General features: G+C 39.6%; 1 long non-coding RNA gene across 1 annotated transcript, besides 2 other annotated features; it reads left to right on the top strand.

Moving 5' to 3' along the window:
* Positions 1 to 1,156: 1,156 nt before the first annotated feature.
* Positions 1,157 to 9,173, top strand: LOC107985183 (uncharacterized). The gene is made up of 3 exons (XR_001753452.2): positions 1,157 to 1,416; positions 2,003 to 2,038; positions 9,099 to 9,173. It is a non-coding gene; the product is annotated as an uncharacterized LOC107985183 (long non-coding RNA).
* Positions 3,459 to 3,958: an enhancer, noted in NCBI's record as "H3K27ac hESC enhancer chr18:53525319-53525818 (GRCh37/hg19 assembly coordinates)". NCBI's record gives its function as "activates a minimal SCP1, AML or CMV promoter by ChIP-STARR-seq in naive H9 embryonic stem cells {active_cell/tissue: H9 hESC(naive)}" and the evidence as "EXISTENCE:reporter gene assay evidence [ECO:0000049][PMID:30033119]".
* Positions 10,975 to 11,475: an enhancer, noted in NCBI's record as "H3K4me1 hESC enhancer chr18:53517802-53518302 (GRCh37/hg19 assembly coordinates)". NCBI's record gives its function as "activates a minimal SCP1, AML or CMV promoter by ChIP-STARR-seq in naive H9 embryonic stem cells {active_cell/tissue: H9 hESC(naive)}" and the evidence as "EXISTENCE:reporter gene assay evidence [ECO:0000049][PMID:30033119]".

The following is a 17,139-nucleotide window of genomic DNA, read 5'->3' as shown; positions in this document are numbered from 1 at the left end:
TGTTCTTTTTAACTCTACATATTTTATATAAACTACCTTACATTGCGTGAATCTAGGAATTCTAATATGGGCACTGGCTTTTTAACTAATTCCATGACCCGTCTCCTGTCCAGCTAGTCCTATGGAACCAAACGTGATGCACTTATTGGTATCAAATGGCTTTCATGGTGGGAAAGACTGGTAGGATAAAGCTCTCCCACCCTCCTTTGGGAACTTGACAGGTATCAGCAAGGAATGAAGATGAAATAAGCTCCCGAGATGAGGTAGGGGCAGTGTTCTTATCTAAGCCTTAGATACAGAACAAGCCTCACCTCCTGCTCCAGCCTCCCCTTCTCTCCCAATCCCTCCCAACTTTTTATTTTCCTTCAGTGGCCAAGGCATTCCGGGAAGAAAATGTTGCGCTGGTTGTGCTACTGGTGTCAGTGTCAGAAGAGCACAGAGCTAACTCACAATGCACTGGTACTGTTTCCCTGAGGACAAATTGGTGTGGTGTGTGTGTGTGTGTGTGTGTGTGTGTGTTTTCCCAAACAATAGTTCTTGTGTATGTGTGAGCCAGTAGTTTTGCCATTCCCTCAGAGACAGCCAGCAGAGGGAGCAAATTTAGCACACAGCAGTATTCCCTAATGTCCTAGCATTGGTAAGAATTCTGGAGGACATACTATATACGAAATTAATAAAATCAAATGATTTCATTTCATTTCATTATGATTAACCCTGTTATGCACAGAAGCAGGTCGAGCAATGCGGGGTAATGAAGAACTAAACGAGGCTAATTGGCTCAGTCAGGATACCTCAGCTTGGTGGTTGTGAATACGATGATATAGCTGGTAAAATGGCACTTGTTTCCTTTTTCCTTCCAAAAAAACTACTAACAAAAAATTTTTAAAAAACACATACACATATACACACAATATGTGTGTGTTTTTAATTCCATGGCTGGAAATACTTATGTTCCATTTATATAGTTTCACATATGTTCTTTAATATGTGAATACATATATATATATATATATATATATATATATATATTCTTTAGGGAAATCTTTCTTCAATTTCATTCATGTTGACAACTCTTTTTCCTCTCTTTCCTCTCTCTGTCCTCTGTTTCATTGGTCTCTCTCTCACACACACACACACAAACACACACACACACACACACACACACACACGACTCTGCAACAGTTTTAGTCCTCAATGCTTTGGAGCTACTCTAATGTTTTGAGAGGAAAGTAATTTTTCAATTTCTGTTTTACCCCAAACCTAACAGGTGACTGGCCTAAAGGGACTTTGTTCCCCATCCCCTGCTTAATGCTGCTGGCTCACCATAGCTCTAGTGATTCAGAATTTAAATCGAATGCGAACATTTGCGAGTAATGCAGGGAGTGATGAGAGCTTTTATGGACAGCAAGAATTGAAGTAATTGTTTGGTCTTTTTTTCTCTCTCTCTGTCAAAGTAGGATCAGAATTGATTGTTTCCTCTCACCTGTGGTCATTTTCCTATTTTAGAGCATTGATGATATCTGGACCCATGTCGTTTTCAAGTTTTCTAAACCTTAATCTCTAGAAATCCTGTAGAGTGTGTCAAATTAGAACTCCATTCCAGCAAATACATCTTCACATTTCCGTGCTGTTAATTCAAGGCATTCATTAGAATGTAAGGCTCTTAACCATTTTCACTTAACGATATGGATTTTCTCCTCACCCCCTGCATCTGTGCTTTTCCCTGTTCCTTCCTTCCCGCCCCAATCTCCTGATACATTTCAAGTACTTATACTCTACACCCTCCCCAAAATTCTGTTGTCTTCAACTTGTAAAAATCTCCATAACACACCTATCCCCTCTTTAGACAAAACCTGACATTTTGGCTTGTGATGGCAGCAAAAGTGGTACACTAAATTCACATGTAAAAATCCAAAGTTTAAGAAAAAAAAGTGCCTAGATTCTAACACATAATATGCTCTTCTCTTAGTTATAAAAGGAAACTTTTTCCTTCTCTTTTCAGGTTCGAAGCAAAATGGCACAAATACAGCGGATAACAGTAAGTGATCAGATTTCCATATAGACTGCGTGCAGGCAAATTAGCAATCAGAAGTTCCTAACACAGTGGCTGTGTTTGAAGACTCAAAGAATTGCAAAGCAATTTTCCTTCCCAAAGTGCATTTGAGTCATTCCTACAACTGTACAGAACCCTTATTCATAGAAATCTTTAAAACTCCAAAAAATTGACAAATTGTTTTCTTTTTATTAGAAAAGGGGAAACTGTATGCATGCCTACTAGCTTATTACAATTGAAATTTCTTTAGGATACAGAGTGTGTGCAATAAATGATCGCACAGTCATCAAAAACCACACATAGAAGAATCTCCTACTGTCTTGATAGACAACACAGATTTTACAAAGATTTGGGTAAAAACTGTACATATTTTCCTCCTACAAAAACAAACATCTATATGCAAATTTCATTAAAATAAACAGAGGAGTGCTTAAACTGGGAAAGATGGAGTCAGATGTTTTTTATTATGGGTTTGAATGCTATGGAATTGGTAACTACATTTTTTTATTTTTTCAGTAGAAAAAAATCACAAGATATTTTAATAATGCATACCTAACGTTTATTTTCTTATTAGTAATTGTTATAAAAACAGACCGTTTTGCCAGCCTATCTGACTGCACCTGTTACTAGATATTTCCAAGAGACTCACTCACACACCAATTTTGCCTGCGTGCACTGGGTGTATTTCCCGTTGTTTTGATTATACAGTCAGGGCACAGGCAGCTTGCATTCAAAAAAGAAGGCACATTTTATTCAAAGAGAGAAAGTGATGTCCTTGGAACTTCAACCTTAATGAAACACTTTTTAAAAGGACACACTGTTTGGAATGAGAAGAGATCCAAAGAGAGAAGGATGGGTGCGTGATAGAAACGAAAGGAAAATGGATTCGATTAGCAAAGCAAGACTACAGTATCCCAAGAGACTTCTAAAAAATCTGTATGAAGTCATTACAAGCACACAGTATAATCTTGCGGCGTAGATGCATGCTTCAGAGTGCAAAGAAAGTTTGCCCTCAAGATTGAGTTTCTGAGGAATTAATTCTAAATATTCCCTCCAGTCTTAGGAGTTTTCAGTCCCAAATTGCTTAAATGATGATTAGCTGAAGTTCCTCTGACTAATTTCGGCAGAAGTAACATTTCTAGCTGGTTGATTTGGGCATCAAAACGAACCAGTGTCTCCGGACATCTGTACTATAGAGACACCCTTATGCTAAAACCCGACTCCAGCACTACCCTTACAAAAATAGCACATTTCCGTTCATGCAGAACGGTGATTAGACTTTCCCAACACAACTCATACTTTTTAAAAGGCGCGTCAGAATTTTAAAGTGCATTAAATAAAGGGCATTGGCACATTAATGCAGCTCTCTTTGAGGCAAGATGCCGCATAATTTCCGCTGAACCGTCGCACAAACCTTCAATAAAGAAAGTTCGCAAAGAAAAAAATATATACCCATGCCACATCCGATGCATAGAACAGTGTCCTTGGGAATTCAATAACACTCTATGTCTATAAAACTAAGCCTTTAAGATGCTTTGTTTTACATACTTAAGGAGGAGCGAACGTCCCCAGGGCACTGTTGTTTTGTTACCTTATTTTAAATATTCTGTTTTTCTGCAGCTGTCTGCCTACATGGTAGGACTACACAGGGTATTCTGCTGGGTGATTTTTTTTTAGAGAGGTGCTACTTTCTTCTACATCTAAACATGCATTTATAAGAAACAAATGGCTTTCTGTATTGAGGGCTTTCAAAGTGACCACGGTGTTGTAAACACGCTGGAAGAGTTGCAGCAACAGTGTGACAGGTGGATTAGCTCTCGCTTAGTTTAGCCTCTTGCCTGCTCATCTTGGGCAGCTGTGCAGACGTACCTGATGCCACAAAAGATAAAGACTATGTGCGTAGAGAGTACCAGCATTATGTTGAGCACTCAGTTTGCGGTTCTATGTCATGGTCTTCAAGCCTGTTAAAAGTGACACTGAAAATACAAAATGGGGTGGCACGTAAGACCCAACCCCAAATTAGGCAGTTTTTCAAGACTGGAGGAGACGTCTCTGAATGGCTGCAAAATCATCGATAGCAGCTGGAGAGACTCGTTCAGGGGATTTTACTCCACGGTCGAGCATATTTCAAAGTTTAAATTCTTAACAAAAAGAAACTGGGACCATAGGAAAAAATCTTTTTTAGGAGGAAAAATAGTGACAACCAAACATCTCAAGAGTTTTTATAGTCTCTTTGGGTTAGAAAGAAATGTCTGCTTCAGTTTGCCATCGTTTTTCTATTTACTGAGCCTATGCTAGTCATACTTATTGTCAGGTTGGGACACATAGAAAATAAAACAAAAGAATTTTGCTGTGAGCAACATTAATTGAGCAACGGTGTTGGCCTTCTGGGGGTGGATGTGCTCCCATCAAAAAGATCTGGTAGCTAAGCCTGCCCAGATGATTAAGCTGGAAGAATTGCTGAAGTTCATGGTTTAAGTAATGGCTTTCACCTGTAGGCTTCTATCCACTATCAATTTTGCCAAGAAAACCCCACAAAAGTGCTCAAAGGGATATAAGTAAGCCCCCTTTCTAAGTCACAGGTGGCACCATCATGCCTGGTCATTGATTTTTTTCTTTTCTTCTTTTTTTTTTTTAATGCTAGATAATTTCAGTGCCTTCTTGCTTTTAAAAGTCAGCAACTCCTGATTCTTTTATTCTTTATTCCATGTCTTTTGCCTACTCTAACTAATCCAGATTTCCTCTGTTAAAGTTGTAAACTGCCCCAAACTGGGCCAACAAAGATAAGGTGAGAACAGACAAGGTCACCAGAAATATTTACTGAGCACTAATGACTCCCACTCCTAGTTTAAAAGAGAAAAAAATGCTAAAACATTTTTTTCTAGGAAAATTCAGGCATCAAAGACCAAAACTGTTACATCCCTAGAAGAGATATCTCCCCACATCACTGAGACACATAACTAAAACACCATGGAAGACCTTTTTTGTCATGAAAAGATGGTAATTTATAAATAAACAGAGGATATTAATTCCTGATGTGTTGAGGTGATGAACAGAATGTGGTCAATGCTGAATATGCAAAATTACAGAAGAAAGTGCTATTGGCATTTTTTAGCATATTTTGGTGACATGGTCATATTATAAAAGATAGAACATAAGACTCAAATACTTACACCAGAAAGAAATTCTTTTGGGCAAGCCCTTTGAGATGTCAGAGACCAAGGCTCAGTTTTCCTTCAATAAAAAAATGAATTGTGCATGCAACCCAAGAGACAGATTACAGATTTTATAATTCTCATAGAACAACCTACACAGCTTCAGCTTCCAGCATGTGTATATGTAACTGTGTAGGGGGAGAAATGAGATGCACAAGACCCATTAATAATGGCAATTGCATGCTTAATTTCATGTGCACTGCAATGAAAAATTACTTCTTACTATCTAAACTAAGTTTCAGGAAAAGCCTGGGAAATCAGGAGCTCTTCCAACATACCTTTCTAGTCCGAATGTGAATAAGGAGCTGGTGACTCATTTAGCAGACATTCCGCAGACAAACCCTCAGGGCAGATTTGATATGAACAACTCTTAGATCAAGGATCTGCTCACAACAAAGGAGGAAAAGTGTTGTCAAAGCCTTGCAATTCTTTTTACATCCAAGCAAGAGAAACATGGTGATTTTACAGAAACTTCTCATTGTGAAATAAACAGCAAATTGAAGAGCAGGTAAGGCTTACATTGGGAGGCCTGAGTCACAGGCTGAGATTTAGATCTGAAGAATTAATTGACTAAAGGCAGGAACCTTCCAGTATGTTAACCTCCAAAACTAACTCATTCATTGCTGATTCTACCATTCTTCAACTTTGTAAATGCAGCCAGTTAAGGTGATCTTAGCTGTATTCATAGGTTCATAGAAGTTTAGAGCTGAAAAAAAAAAATTAAGATTCCTGTCCTATTTTTAGATTTTATAAGTCTAAATCTAGTATTAATTATCCCCATAAAAAATAAAATGAAAGCAAAAACCAGCTTCTCCTCTAGGGAGACCAACTCACCCCAGGACTTTTGACTGGGACTTTCAGGCTTTTAGCACTGAAAGTTCCACCTCTGATTTGCCTTGCCTCTGTCCAGGCAAATCTGCATGGCTGATCACCATTTACAATCCCATGAATTCTCCATCTGTGTTGGTGGCACTGCCATTATCTCTAGGGCCCCAAACCTCAAAGTCTTCTTGACCTCCTGACCCTCACATTCAAATATTCAAGGGTTTCTGTTTTCTATCTGAAGACTCTTCTCTTTACTTCCTCATGTTCACTCCCAATGCTTGATGGCAATTTGAGCCCCTATTACCTCCATCCTGAGCCTCTGTGAGCTCCTGCCCTTTTCTTCCTGGCCCCATTCTTCATACAGCACCTTGTCTACCCATGGGTCTTTGGAGATGACAACTTCATCATGTTCAAACATTGTCATTGTGTAACTCAGTTAAATTAGACTCTTAGCCTGGCATTCAATCACTCATGATGCCTCCCCAATCTATTGTTCTAGCTTTATGATAGAGAAAAAAACAGGCAGATTCATTGAGAGATAAAAAAAATGTGTCCCCAATTCACCATTCTCCTTCATTAACTAGTTATGCTAACAGGGCAGGTCATTTAACATCTCTTGGCTTTGGTAACTCCATTTGTGCAATATGTTGCCTTCCTTAAAGGAAAAAGCTACTCTAGTTGGTGTCATGAAGTACTGATCCTGAAAAGTTATGATATTCTGACCTCCTACTATCATTATGTGTAGACTCTACGTACTATTGGGTAGCTCCTTATTTTAGGAACCAGTCCTGAGTTTTCCCAGCCCCATGCATTGTATGAATGCAGTTCTGTGTGTCCTTAAACCTCCCTTCAAGTTTCCTGTGACTCTCTGGAAACGGAATCTTGGAAAAGGCCTACCCATCACCTCCTGGAAAAGGTCTACCCATCACCACCTCCTTCCACAGACTCAGTTAAATCTCTCCACCTTCTCCAAACTTCCACAGCTCATTGTTTTTACCTCTCCTATGACACCAATGAAGTGACTCTAGCATTTGTATTATTGCGATTATTTGTTCACATGCCTTATTTCCTGTGCCTCTGTGAGCTCCCTAGGGACAAGGATTCCATCATACTTACAAACAGGCACAATGGTGTGCTAATTAAGAATTGTCATGGGTTGAATTGTCTCTTCCAAAAAAGATGTGTTGGAAGTCCTAACTCCTACCCCTCAGTACCTCAGAATTTGACCCTGTTTGGAAATAGGGTGGTTACAGATGTAATTAGTTAAGATGAGGTCAGACTGGAGTTAAGTGGCCCCCAATCCAATATGACTAGTGTTCTTTTAAGACCAGCATGTGAATACACAGGGACACAAGGAGAATGTCACATGATGATGAAGGAAAAGATTGGAGTTAAGCAGCTACAAGCTAAAGAATGTTGAGGATTGCCAGAAACCACCAGAAGCTAGGAAGAGGTATAAAAGGATTCCTCTGCAAGTTTCAGAGGAAGCATGTCTCTGCTGACACCTTGATTTTGGACTTCTAGCCTCCAGAACCGGAAGACAACAAATTTCTTCTTGACAGCCACCCAGTTTGTAGTCTTTTGTTGTTGCAACTCTAGAAAACTAACAGAGTCAAACTGCCTGGATCTGACACCTTGTTATGCTGCTTTCAGCTGCATGACTTTCAGCAAGTTACATCAACACCTGATGACTCTATGTCCTCATCTATAACATGATCATAATAATAGAACGAATATCCTAGTGTATATGTAAGGAATCAAAGAATACATGCATGTAAAATTTGTATCAGCATCTGGCAATAAATCGAAATTATTTTATCTTTTCATTATCCTTCAGTGCTATGCATATAGTCAGCATTCAATAAATGTTTATTGAATGAGAGAATATATAAATTGGCTAAAGAAAATTTGAACTTATCCAGACATATATATATTCAACTTGCCTTTGTTGACTTGGTAATTTGATTCAACACGGAAAGATGCTTTGCTTATTATTCACTTTATATTAAAGTGCTGAGTGGGTTCAAGGCCAGGTCTAAATGCAGGTTCTACTGGTTCTTTGCTGTATGACCTTGTGTAAGTCTACTTGACCTTGACGATGCTCCATTTCCTCAACTTAAAATGGGAGAAACTTGGTCCATAGAGTTATAAGTGAAGGTTAAGTAAGACGATGTCAAAGCAAACTTGATTTTCATAAATATCAGCTATTGCTATCACTCTTTTAAATTTTATTTTAAAGAATTTTCCTTCTAATGTTTTCCTAAATTCTAGATCAGTATTGTAAAAGACTAGCATTTTCAAAACTTGCATGAAGACAGCAGCATAGAGAAGGAATCTGACTCCTAAGCTGGCTGGATCTCAATTTCCTGATCTCTAAAACAGTGCTTCTCAGTTGGGAGCCAATCCCCCACAACCCCAGGGACATTTAGCAGTGTGTTGAGATGTTTTTGACTGTCATGATTGGAGGGTTGGTAATACTGGCATCTAGTGGGTGGAGGCCAGGGTTGCTGCGACTCATCTTATAATGCACAGCGCAGGCCCTAACAATGAAGAATTATCCAGCCCAAAATATCAATAGTGTCAAGGCTGAGAAACCCTGCTCTAAAATTAGGTGGTTGGGCCAGGTAATGATACCAGGTAAACTTTCACATTCCTTCCAGCTAAAAAACGTTGTAAGTACTGATTTCCATAATGCATTGTAAATGCCATTCTCTCAGACTGTGCAATTAATTATTTTTATCATTCTCTATTTTTAAGCTATTTTTTTCTGAATGCCAAAAAACTAATTATTTGAGATAATCTAAATTCTCTTAGATTTCAGCCCAGTTCTCAATGTTGCACTTTCTAGATTGCTTGGCCCAAATGTTTCTGTGAAAGCTTTTTGATTCACTGTTTTAGTTGGGATATAGGCTCAGAGCATGAATTAGAAACTTAAAGTAGCAGTGACTTGAGTAAGACAAAAGATGATTTTTCTTTCACATTTATCACTCTCTCATGCCTGCTAGGAGGTGGCTCTCCTCTGGGAAGTCATCAGGACTCTCGTCTGCTGTGGGGCTACATGGAGTCCAGGCCCCAGGCTCCTTCTCTCTTGTTGTTTGGCCATCCTGGAGACTTTGCCCTCATCTGCATCCCCAAAATGGGGCATCACTGTGTCCATATCCAGCCTGTGGAATGGGGAAAAGAGAAAGGAAGCATGCCCCTTCCCTAACGGTATGACCCAGAAAATATAGGCAGGAGTTCCACTCATATCCCAGACACCAGAACGTACAAGGCCACACATACTTGCCAGGAAAGCTTGAATATAGTCTTTATTTGGTATGGTCATGTACCCAGAAAACATTTGACAAAATATTGGGATCATGTTCTAGCGTAGCCCCCTTAGGGATGAGGGGGTTAAGAGCGTTGATAGAAGGGAATGGTTTTAATAATAGACAATCAAATCTAAGCTCAGTATCAGTCCTGGAAAGGGCTCAGATTGGGCTTTCTTGAATCAAATCTCTTCCTCTCATTCTCTACCTATGCCCCTAGATATTCAAGCTGCCTGCTCACCCCCAAACCTGCTTCCCTAGTCTCATCATTTCTCCTCATTTCCTTAGCTACAAAACTAGCCCAGCCTCTTAATTAAGCAGTAGGAGTGATAGAAGGCAGAAAAGGCTGGTAGCCCTCCTTGCCAAGATGTGGAGAGAAACTGCCTAGGAAAAATTCAATATAGAAAAAAGATTTCACAGAGAGAATAAGAGAGCCTGATTTTGAAAGTATTGTTTGCACCCCTGAGCCAGAAAAGTATAGGGACGGCCCATCCCCTTACAGCTCCCAGTGGAATCAATAAATACCCCTTTTTGCTCAAGCTAGTTGAAATTGTACTTTCTTCACTTGCACCCAGAACATGTCTCACTAATATAACCTTCAAGAAATTCCCATTCTAGTGAAGGATTGCCAGGAGGCAGAAAACTGCTCAACTTATTAAACTTCAGTCAGTTCCACATAGGGCCAGTTTTCTCTTTTCCACTATTGAGCTAGAACATATACATTTCCAGGCAAAAAAATAAAAAAGTGGTAGAATTTATAAACTTTTAGGAAAACTTAACATTCAACTTTGCATCACCCACTTCGAATAGAGACTAATATTGGATCATAGACACAAATATTGGTATCTATCACATGACTGGCTAATCTTAATTTTTTAAAATATCTTTAAAATGACCATTTTTAATCAAATGTTCAAGGCAGCTAGCTCTCTTCTTGTTTAAAAATTAATTAGATTTTTTAAAGAAAATATTCTTCCTGCAGATAATACACATGAGAAAACCTTGTCCATTATGTTCTTGGGTGGCCTTGAAGCATAGGTGGCCACCGCATGGCAGAATCAATGCATCTAAGGACGTGCTGAATGCCTCCATTAAGGCTTCAGCTTTAGTGCCAAGGGCAGAATTCCATAACATTGGGCCTTTGCTCAAGAGTGTTTTCTGTTCAGGCTGAGTCAAGGCTAACTTAGGTGCCTCAAGTAAAATCAACTAAAAACAGACAATAGACTTCAGGCTTAGGATCTGGAACTACTCAAAGCCTTGTTCACACTTGAAAGTGGATTTGGTGCTAAGTCTTCAGCTTGTTTGAAAAGGATTATCAGAGCCAATGAGAGGAGTTTTGGAGCCAGGACAAATGCTAAATTTTAGGTCCATGAGCGTGGAAGAGTGACTTGGCCAGTGGAAAATCACCAGACAGCTCTTGCCAATCTGAAAACACTCAAGGGCAGCACCAGAACCTCTGGGCTGGCGAGAATGTCCCTGGCCGTTCCCTCCTGTTGGCCACTCCAGAGAAGAGTGCCATGATGGGAATGTTCAGCTGTAAACCTGCAGGCAGGCTGCTGGGCTGGGCCCTGGCTGGAGCCTACGTAAACATTTTCCCTTTCCAAACCTGGACATGGTGCTCCACAGTAGCCGAGTGCCCACCCCTCCAAGCTGGGACCTCGGGGTCTCCTCCAGAGTTTTGCTCTCCTTTTTCTCTCTCTATCCAGTTTGTCATCATCCCCCGCACCCTGCCGCCAGCTTCCCCAGAAAACTTCCTCAGATTTGATCTCCCTCCCTCTTTGCTCTGTCAATTCTCCAGCCACCTGCTGGGGCCATGATGACAGCTTCTTTGCTGTGTTCACTGCCAGGACCAGTTTTATGCATAGATGGAGCTGAAGGCTACCCATGAGGCCTGATTTCAAGAGTGCATAAATGTTTGTGGAGACCCAGTATACTGCCACTCCTGCTCAATGACGTCTGACATTTTCACAAATAATAGTCATGACTTGGACCAACCTTTACTATGTGCCTGGTGCTAGTCTAAGAGCTGTACATATATTAACTCATTTAATCCTTTCATTGCAAAGTGAGAGATGAGGTTTAAACTGGCAAAATGTTTGGCAGAGGTTGTCTCTGCTGAAATTCATACTAGAATGTCTACAGCTAACTACAGATCTGGTCTTGTTGTAATTGTTATAAATACGCAGAAGTGTCTCAAGGAGAAGTTGCGTGGCACAGCAGGGAGAAGAGGACAAAGAAAGGGGACCTGGCACATGAACATTAACGACCTGATAGTACTGCCTGCCTCATTCCCGTCTTCAACTCCCTCATTTACCTCCACTCGTTCAAATAAGCCATACATATTGTTTTGCAGGAGTGTTAAAATCCTCCTGCCATATCCCCTTCTCATATTCCTATAATAGCTCCTCATGAACCCTAGAAAGAAATTAAACTTTCACAAACTTCCAGCAGCCCACGCATGAATTCCCCTTTACTTCCCCAAATACGGCAGCTCATTTTCTCCATCTCTCCTGCTTGTCAGACCTCACAACACAATCATCAGAACGTGGTTTTTTTGGCAGCAAACCTTATGCCTGCTGTAGAGTTCACAGAACACAAGATCAGTATAGTAAGTAAGTATAAAATGTGTAACCTTTATATACACGACAAATATTAACTTAATATTATACCACTGTCTTCAGGATGCTTTATAGGGATTAATTACATGATGTCTGCAAAGCAGTTTGAGAACCTCCGGGAAAGGTGCTATAGAAATACAAGGTATGATTATTTTTAGGAGCTGCTACTGCTGACATTCAGCATAGCATGAAAGAATGAAAAATTATCTCCATGTTCCCCGTCGTGGTAACAACTTCAGCTTAGGGTTTAGAAAACCCATTTATAGAAAGTGCTAAAATTAAAAAATGCATTCCTCAGATGAGCTCATCTATGTAGCTTGATCTATGGAAGAAGAGACCTTTCTAACCAAAAATTTTTTTAAAAAAAATGACTATATAGGCCAAAGTAAGAAATTTAGAAATTTAAAACCTTTCCAGTGAAGTACTCAGACCCCTGGCTCACGTTCAACTCCCTGCCTCCAAGAGAGACTATATGTTTGGATAGATGTTGCCTGTCCCATTCCTAAAGTTCTCCAGAGGAAAGAGTCCTCAATCAACTCAGCCACCTGTTTCTGCTTAACAGCCTTAACTATTGGGAAGTTCTTCCTGGTACCTGACTTAAAACCTTCCCTGGAAATGTACCAGGTTTTCTCTCATTTATCTTTAGTGAGCCCAGAGCTCAGCCAGCCAGTGATTTGTTGTTGTTGTTGCAGTTCATATGTAGCCTTCCTGTTATAATCCTTGATGTTTCCTAATAATTCTGTCACCCTTTGCAACTTTGGGAATAAGTAATTCTGTCCTTAGAATCACTTCCTCTAAATGTCATTCTCCACCTATATTACTGCAAACCTGCCAATCTAGTGGAATAAAAGCTCTGTGAAAGCAGAGGTTTGTGGGATTTTTTGAGATGGAGTCTTGCTGTGTCGCCCAGGCTGGAGTGCACTGGCACGATCTCAGCTCACACAACCTCTGCCTCCTGGGTTCAAGCAATTCTCCTGCCTCAGCCTCTTGGGTAGCTGGGACTACAGGCATGCACCGCCATGCCTGGCTATTTTTTTTTTTATTTTTAATGGAAACGGGGTTTCACCACATTCACCAGGCTGGTCTCAAACTCCTGACCTCAAGTGATCCACCCACCTCGGCCTCCCAAAGTGCTGGGATTACAGGTGTGAGCCACTGCACCCAGCCGAAAGCAGAGGTTTTTTTCTGCCTACTTTACTGCTAGATGCCCTGTTTGTAGACCAGTGCATGGAACAGAGGACACACTCTTTGGTGTATATCAAGTAAATGGATAGAGTTGTCATGATTAAAGTATGAGAGGGCTTAGTGCTTTAGCATGGGACATGTGCTGCACATCCTAGAAAAATTTCATTTCCTCCTTAATATCTGGACACTTAGGAATAGTGGCCAGAGGACACACAACGGTGCCTCTGTTGATCCAGCCCTCATACTTGGATTGTTTTTAGCTCCCACAATTTTTTAAAAATTTTAAATAGTTTTCCAAAGTTTTAAACTTCTTTAAAATTGGAAATTTCTACTTAACATGTGGATTTCTATCTTCTCCTGAAAAATTGGAAGACCTGGCAAAAAAGAGACTCCATTCTCACATGACTACAGTGGCCTGGAGGTGAACAACAGTCCGCTTCTTAAATGGAACTTTCGCTCTCCCATTAGCTGCCATCTCCACCTGGTCCGCGGCACCCAAATGCTCAATCCACCTGCTACAGATGGATGGATGGGGTGAGAGCCCTGCTGGGGATGAAACATTCAAATGGTCAACTGTGGTGTCCACTTCTCAGCCCAATAAAGTGCCACCTAGAGGCACTCATAATCAAGTCGTTTAGTCCTTATAGCAACCCTGGAGGCTAGACATCATCATCATCATCATCATCATCATCTTCATCATCATCATGTTTCATGGTATGCAGAGATAATAAACTAAAGTTCACATAAATTCCTTGTAGGGAAGCATCCTAGTCTTTTAGTTCCCTCTGCAGTGAAAAGTTTCCTATGTCCAAGGTCCACAGACTAGGTTTGTGGGTGGAATGAGTTCTCCCTGCCCTCCTTTTGAAAATAGCCATGCCCATTCACTTACATATTGTCCACTACTGAGCCATAGCTGCTTTTTGAGCTGCAATTATAGAGTTCAGTAGCTGTGCTACATAGATCATATGACCTGCAAGCAAAGCCTATAATGTATACTATCTTGCTCTTTACAGAAAAAGTGTGCTGACCTCTGGCCTATTGCTTTGTACTTACATTCTTGAAAGAGGCCTTAAGATGCTGTGTAGCATCTCCTCCCTCCCAGGTGGGATCAAATATAAACTATACCACACTGTTCATTATCCAGCTAATTGGAAGCATACTGTCATCAAAAACTTTACCTTGGCACACAATGTGATCATGTGGTTATTCTGCTAATTCAATAAAGAACTCGCTGTTTTTAAGAATTAAAAAACTTACAATTAAATTTAAAAACTTAGAATAGATGCAGGATTTACCCTGGGTAACCTTATCTAAATTGAGGCACAAAAAAATAAAAGGTAACATAAAGATATATATACATATATACACACAGTTTATGTGTGTGTGTATATACATTACATGAATATGTAAATTCAACTGAATGCATCTAAATGAGCAGAAAAAGATTGGCAGAAAAACACTGGGATCAAGCAAATCCTACTAAAGAATGAGATGCCTTTTAGCTTTTAGCAATGTGTGTGTGTGTGTTCATGTGTGTAAGTAAATTCATCTTGGTATAGATATAGAATTGTGAATACAAGGTATTTGGGTCACCACAGACAACTCTCTGTTCACTACTCATACTGCAACAGGCATTGCTAAAATGATTACTGCCCTTTCGCCTGTGGAGCCTGAACATAGCTTCAGAATCCTACTTAACACAGTGCTCCAGAGAGCCATACAAACTGAGCAGAGTTGGCTCACTTTGACATCTTTTAAGAAAAGAGACTAGTTAGCAATGAAAGGCAAGAGATTTTGGGTCTCATCTCAACTATATTTTTAGAAACTAAGTCACTTACACTATCTGTGTCTCAGGTTTTTCTATACAAAGTAGGGCTAATTATATTTTTTGATCACTTGCCAGAGTGTGGGTAAAATGAGAACAAAAGAGTTAATGAGCTTCTGATAAGCTAAACATGCTGAACAATTGTAATGTATTATTTTTATGGTATAGGCACATGAACATAAAAATATGAGAAATAAAACAGCAGAAGCGACAAAATGAAGACTATCCTAAAATAAAGAGCCAAGCTGAATGTTTCCCAGAATGAATTCCTTTGTAGATTTGAACCATAAAAATCTCCTACTTGAAGAAAAAATAAAAGTGACTACTTGAGTTCAAGGAAATAATGTAGGTAAGAGAGTGGAGGAAGATGATCTTATTGATGGGGTTGAATTTAATCTTCTTAGAGCTCATTCAACAAACATTTATAGAATGCCTACCACCAGGAAGACACACTGTGTTAGTTGCTTTTAAAAATACAATGGTGTATGAATAGGAGTTGGCTGTTCCCACAAATCCTTTTTGAAATAAAGTGGTATGATGGTGTGAGTTCAGAATTGCATTTGGTTGCTGGCTACAGACTGCAAAACAGTAGATTAAAGAGACAAGGGCTTATTTTTCTCATATAACTAAAAGTCTGAGTCAACAATTGCTGATGTTAGTTCAGCAACTGATTCAGGATGTCAGGGACAAAGATCTTTCAATTCTCTCAGCCTTTCTCTCATGGTTCCAAAGTAGCTGCTGGAGCTCCAGCTAATACATTCAAATCTCAGGCAGGAAGAGAAAAAAAAGAGAGAGTAAAAATAAAGAAGCTCTACCCAACGACTTCTACTTATTTTTTAATGGGTTCCTATATGCAGGGAAAGCTGCAAAAGGTGGCTCCTTATTTTTGTTTTTAACTGGATTCATTGTTATCCAACAGTATTCTTTGTTGAGGAGAAAGGAAAAAAATGAATATTCAGTAGTAACTGGCGATCTCCACCACTTGTATAAATTAAATAAAATGTAACAGTTGTTATAGGAAACTAATCTTTCTTTCAAAGAGCTTCATTCTAATAGGGGAAAAATATATATACAACTTAAATCAAAATAGAAAGCAATTTATCATCTAGATAAGCTATCCACTGTCCAAAGAATACAATACTATATTATATGTACATTAAAATATCTCTGTGCTTTTTCTTAGGCAGAGGACAATAGCTAATTTTTATTTCCTTCTTTTCGATGTTTTTAATTTCCAGATGTCCTACAACAAATGGTAGAAAGAGAAGGCATCACAACAGAGAGGTTGCATGAGCGGGTTTCCACATCTATTATTTCATTTTATCATTGTAACTGTGACTTTCAGAAGAATGTGAGGGCATAATTAAACATTTACTCACGAACCAATATGAACTCAATTTTTTGGAAAAAAAAAAAAAGGTGAAAGAACTAAATGCCTAAACTGGGCACTGAGCTCAACCATGATGATAATTCTCTGCACCCGAAATATATAGAATCATAGAATGTTATGTGGGCTGTGAAAAGCAATGACAATCTGGGCTGTCATTTATGCTTCTGAGTCCAACTCATTTCCCATTTTCTAAAGAAAGCCATTAGTGGAAGAACGCCAGAAAATGATTAACAGCACAATAAGGTGGGGATCTGGCACAGGGTGCCACCTGAGCTCTGCAAATCCAAGAATCTGGCCATCAGCACCTTCCCCGGCGTCCCCTGACATCTGTACTAAATGGTCCCCTTTATGTAACAACTTTTAATGCCATGGTCTCACCTGTCAAAATTACTAATAGCCATTAATTTACACAATAATAAATTAAGATTCTCCTGGGCCTGTGGGTAATTTAAAAATACACGAGGAACGGTAAGACCAGGGTAGGGGGCGGAGGCCGGCTGAGAGTCCTCTTCTAAATTGTCTTAGCTTCCCCACATTACATGGGTCATTGCAAGGTGGCCAAGGAGAAATCCCATTGTATCGAGATGTAACCCAGATAGGCATCTTCCAAGGAAATGCTCAGACAACTGAGTTATTTCTGTTTCTTTTCATGGTGAGATTATCTTTATCCTTTGACTTTTTTGCTCTCTTTTGGCATGACAGGTTCCTTGCCCTATCCAT

The sequence above is a fragment of the Homo sapiens genome, chromosome 18 (assembly GCF_000001405.40).
Source record: "Homo sapiens chromosome 18, GRCh38.p14 Primary Assembly".
NCBI lineage: Eukaryota > Metazoa > Chordata > Mammalia > Primates > Hominidae > Homo > Homo sapiens.
The sequence above is the reverse complement of the archived record's forward strand: the minus strand, read 5'-3'. Positions and strand labels throughout refer to the sequence as shown.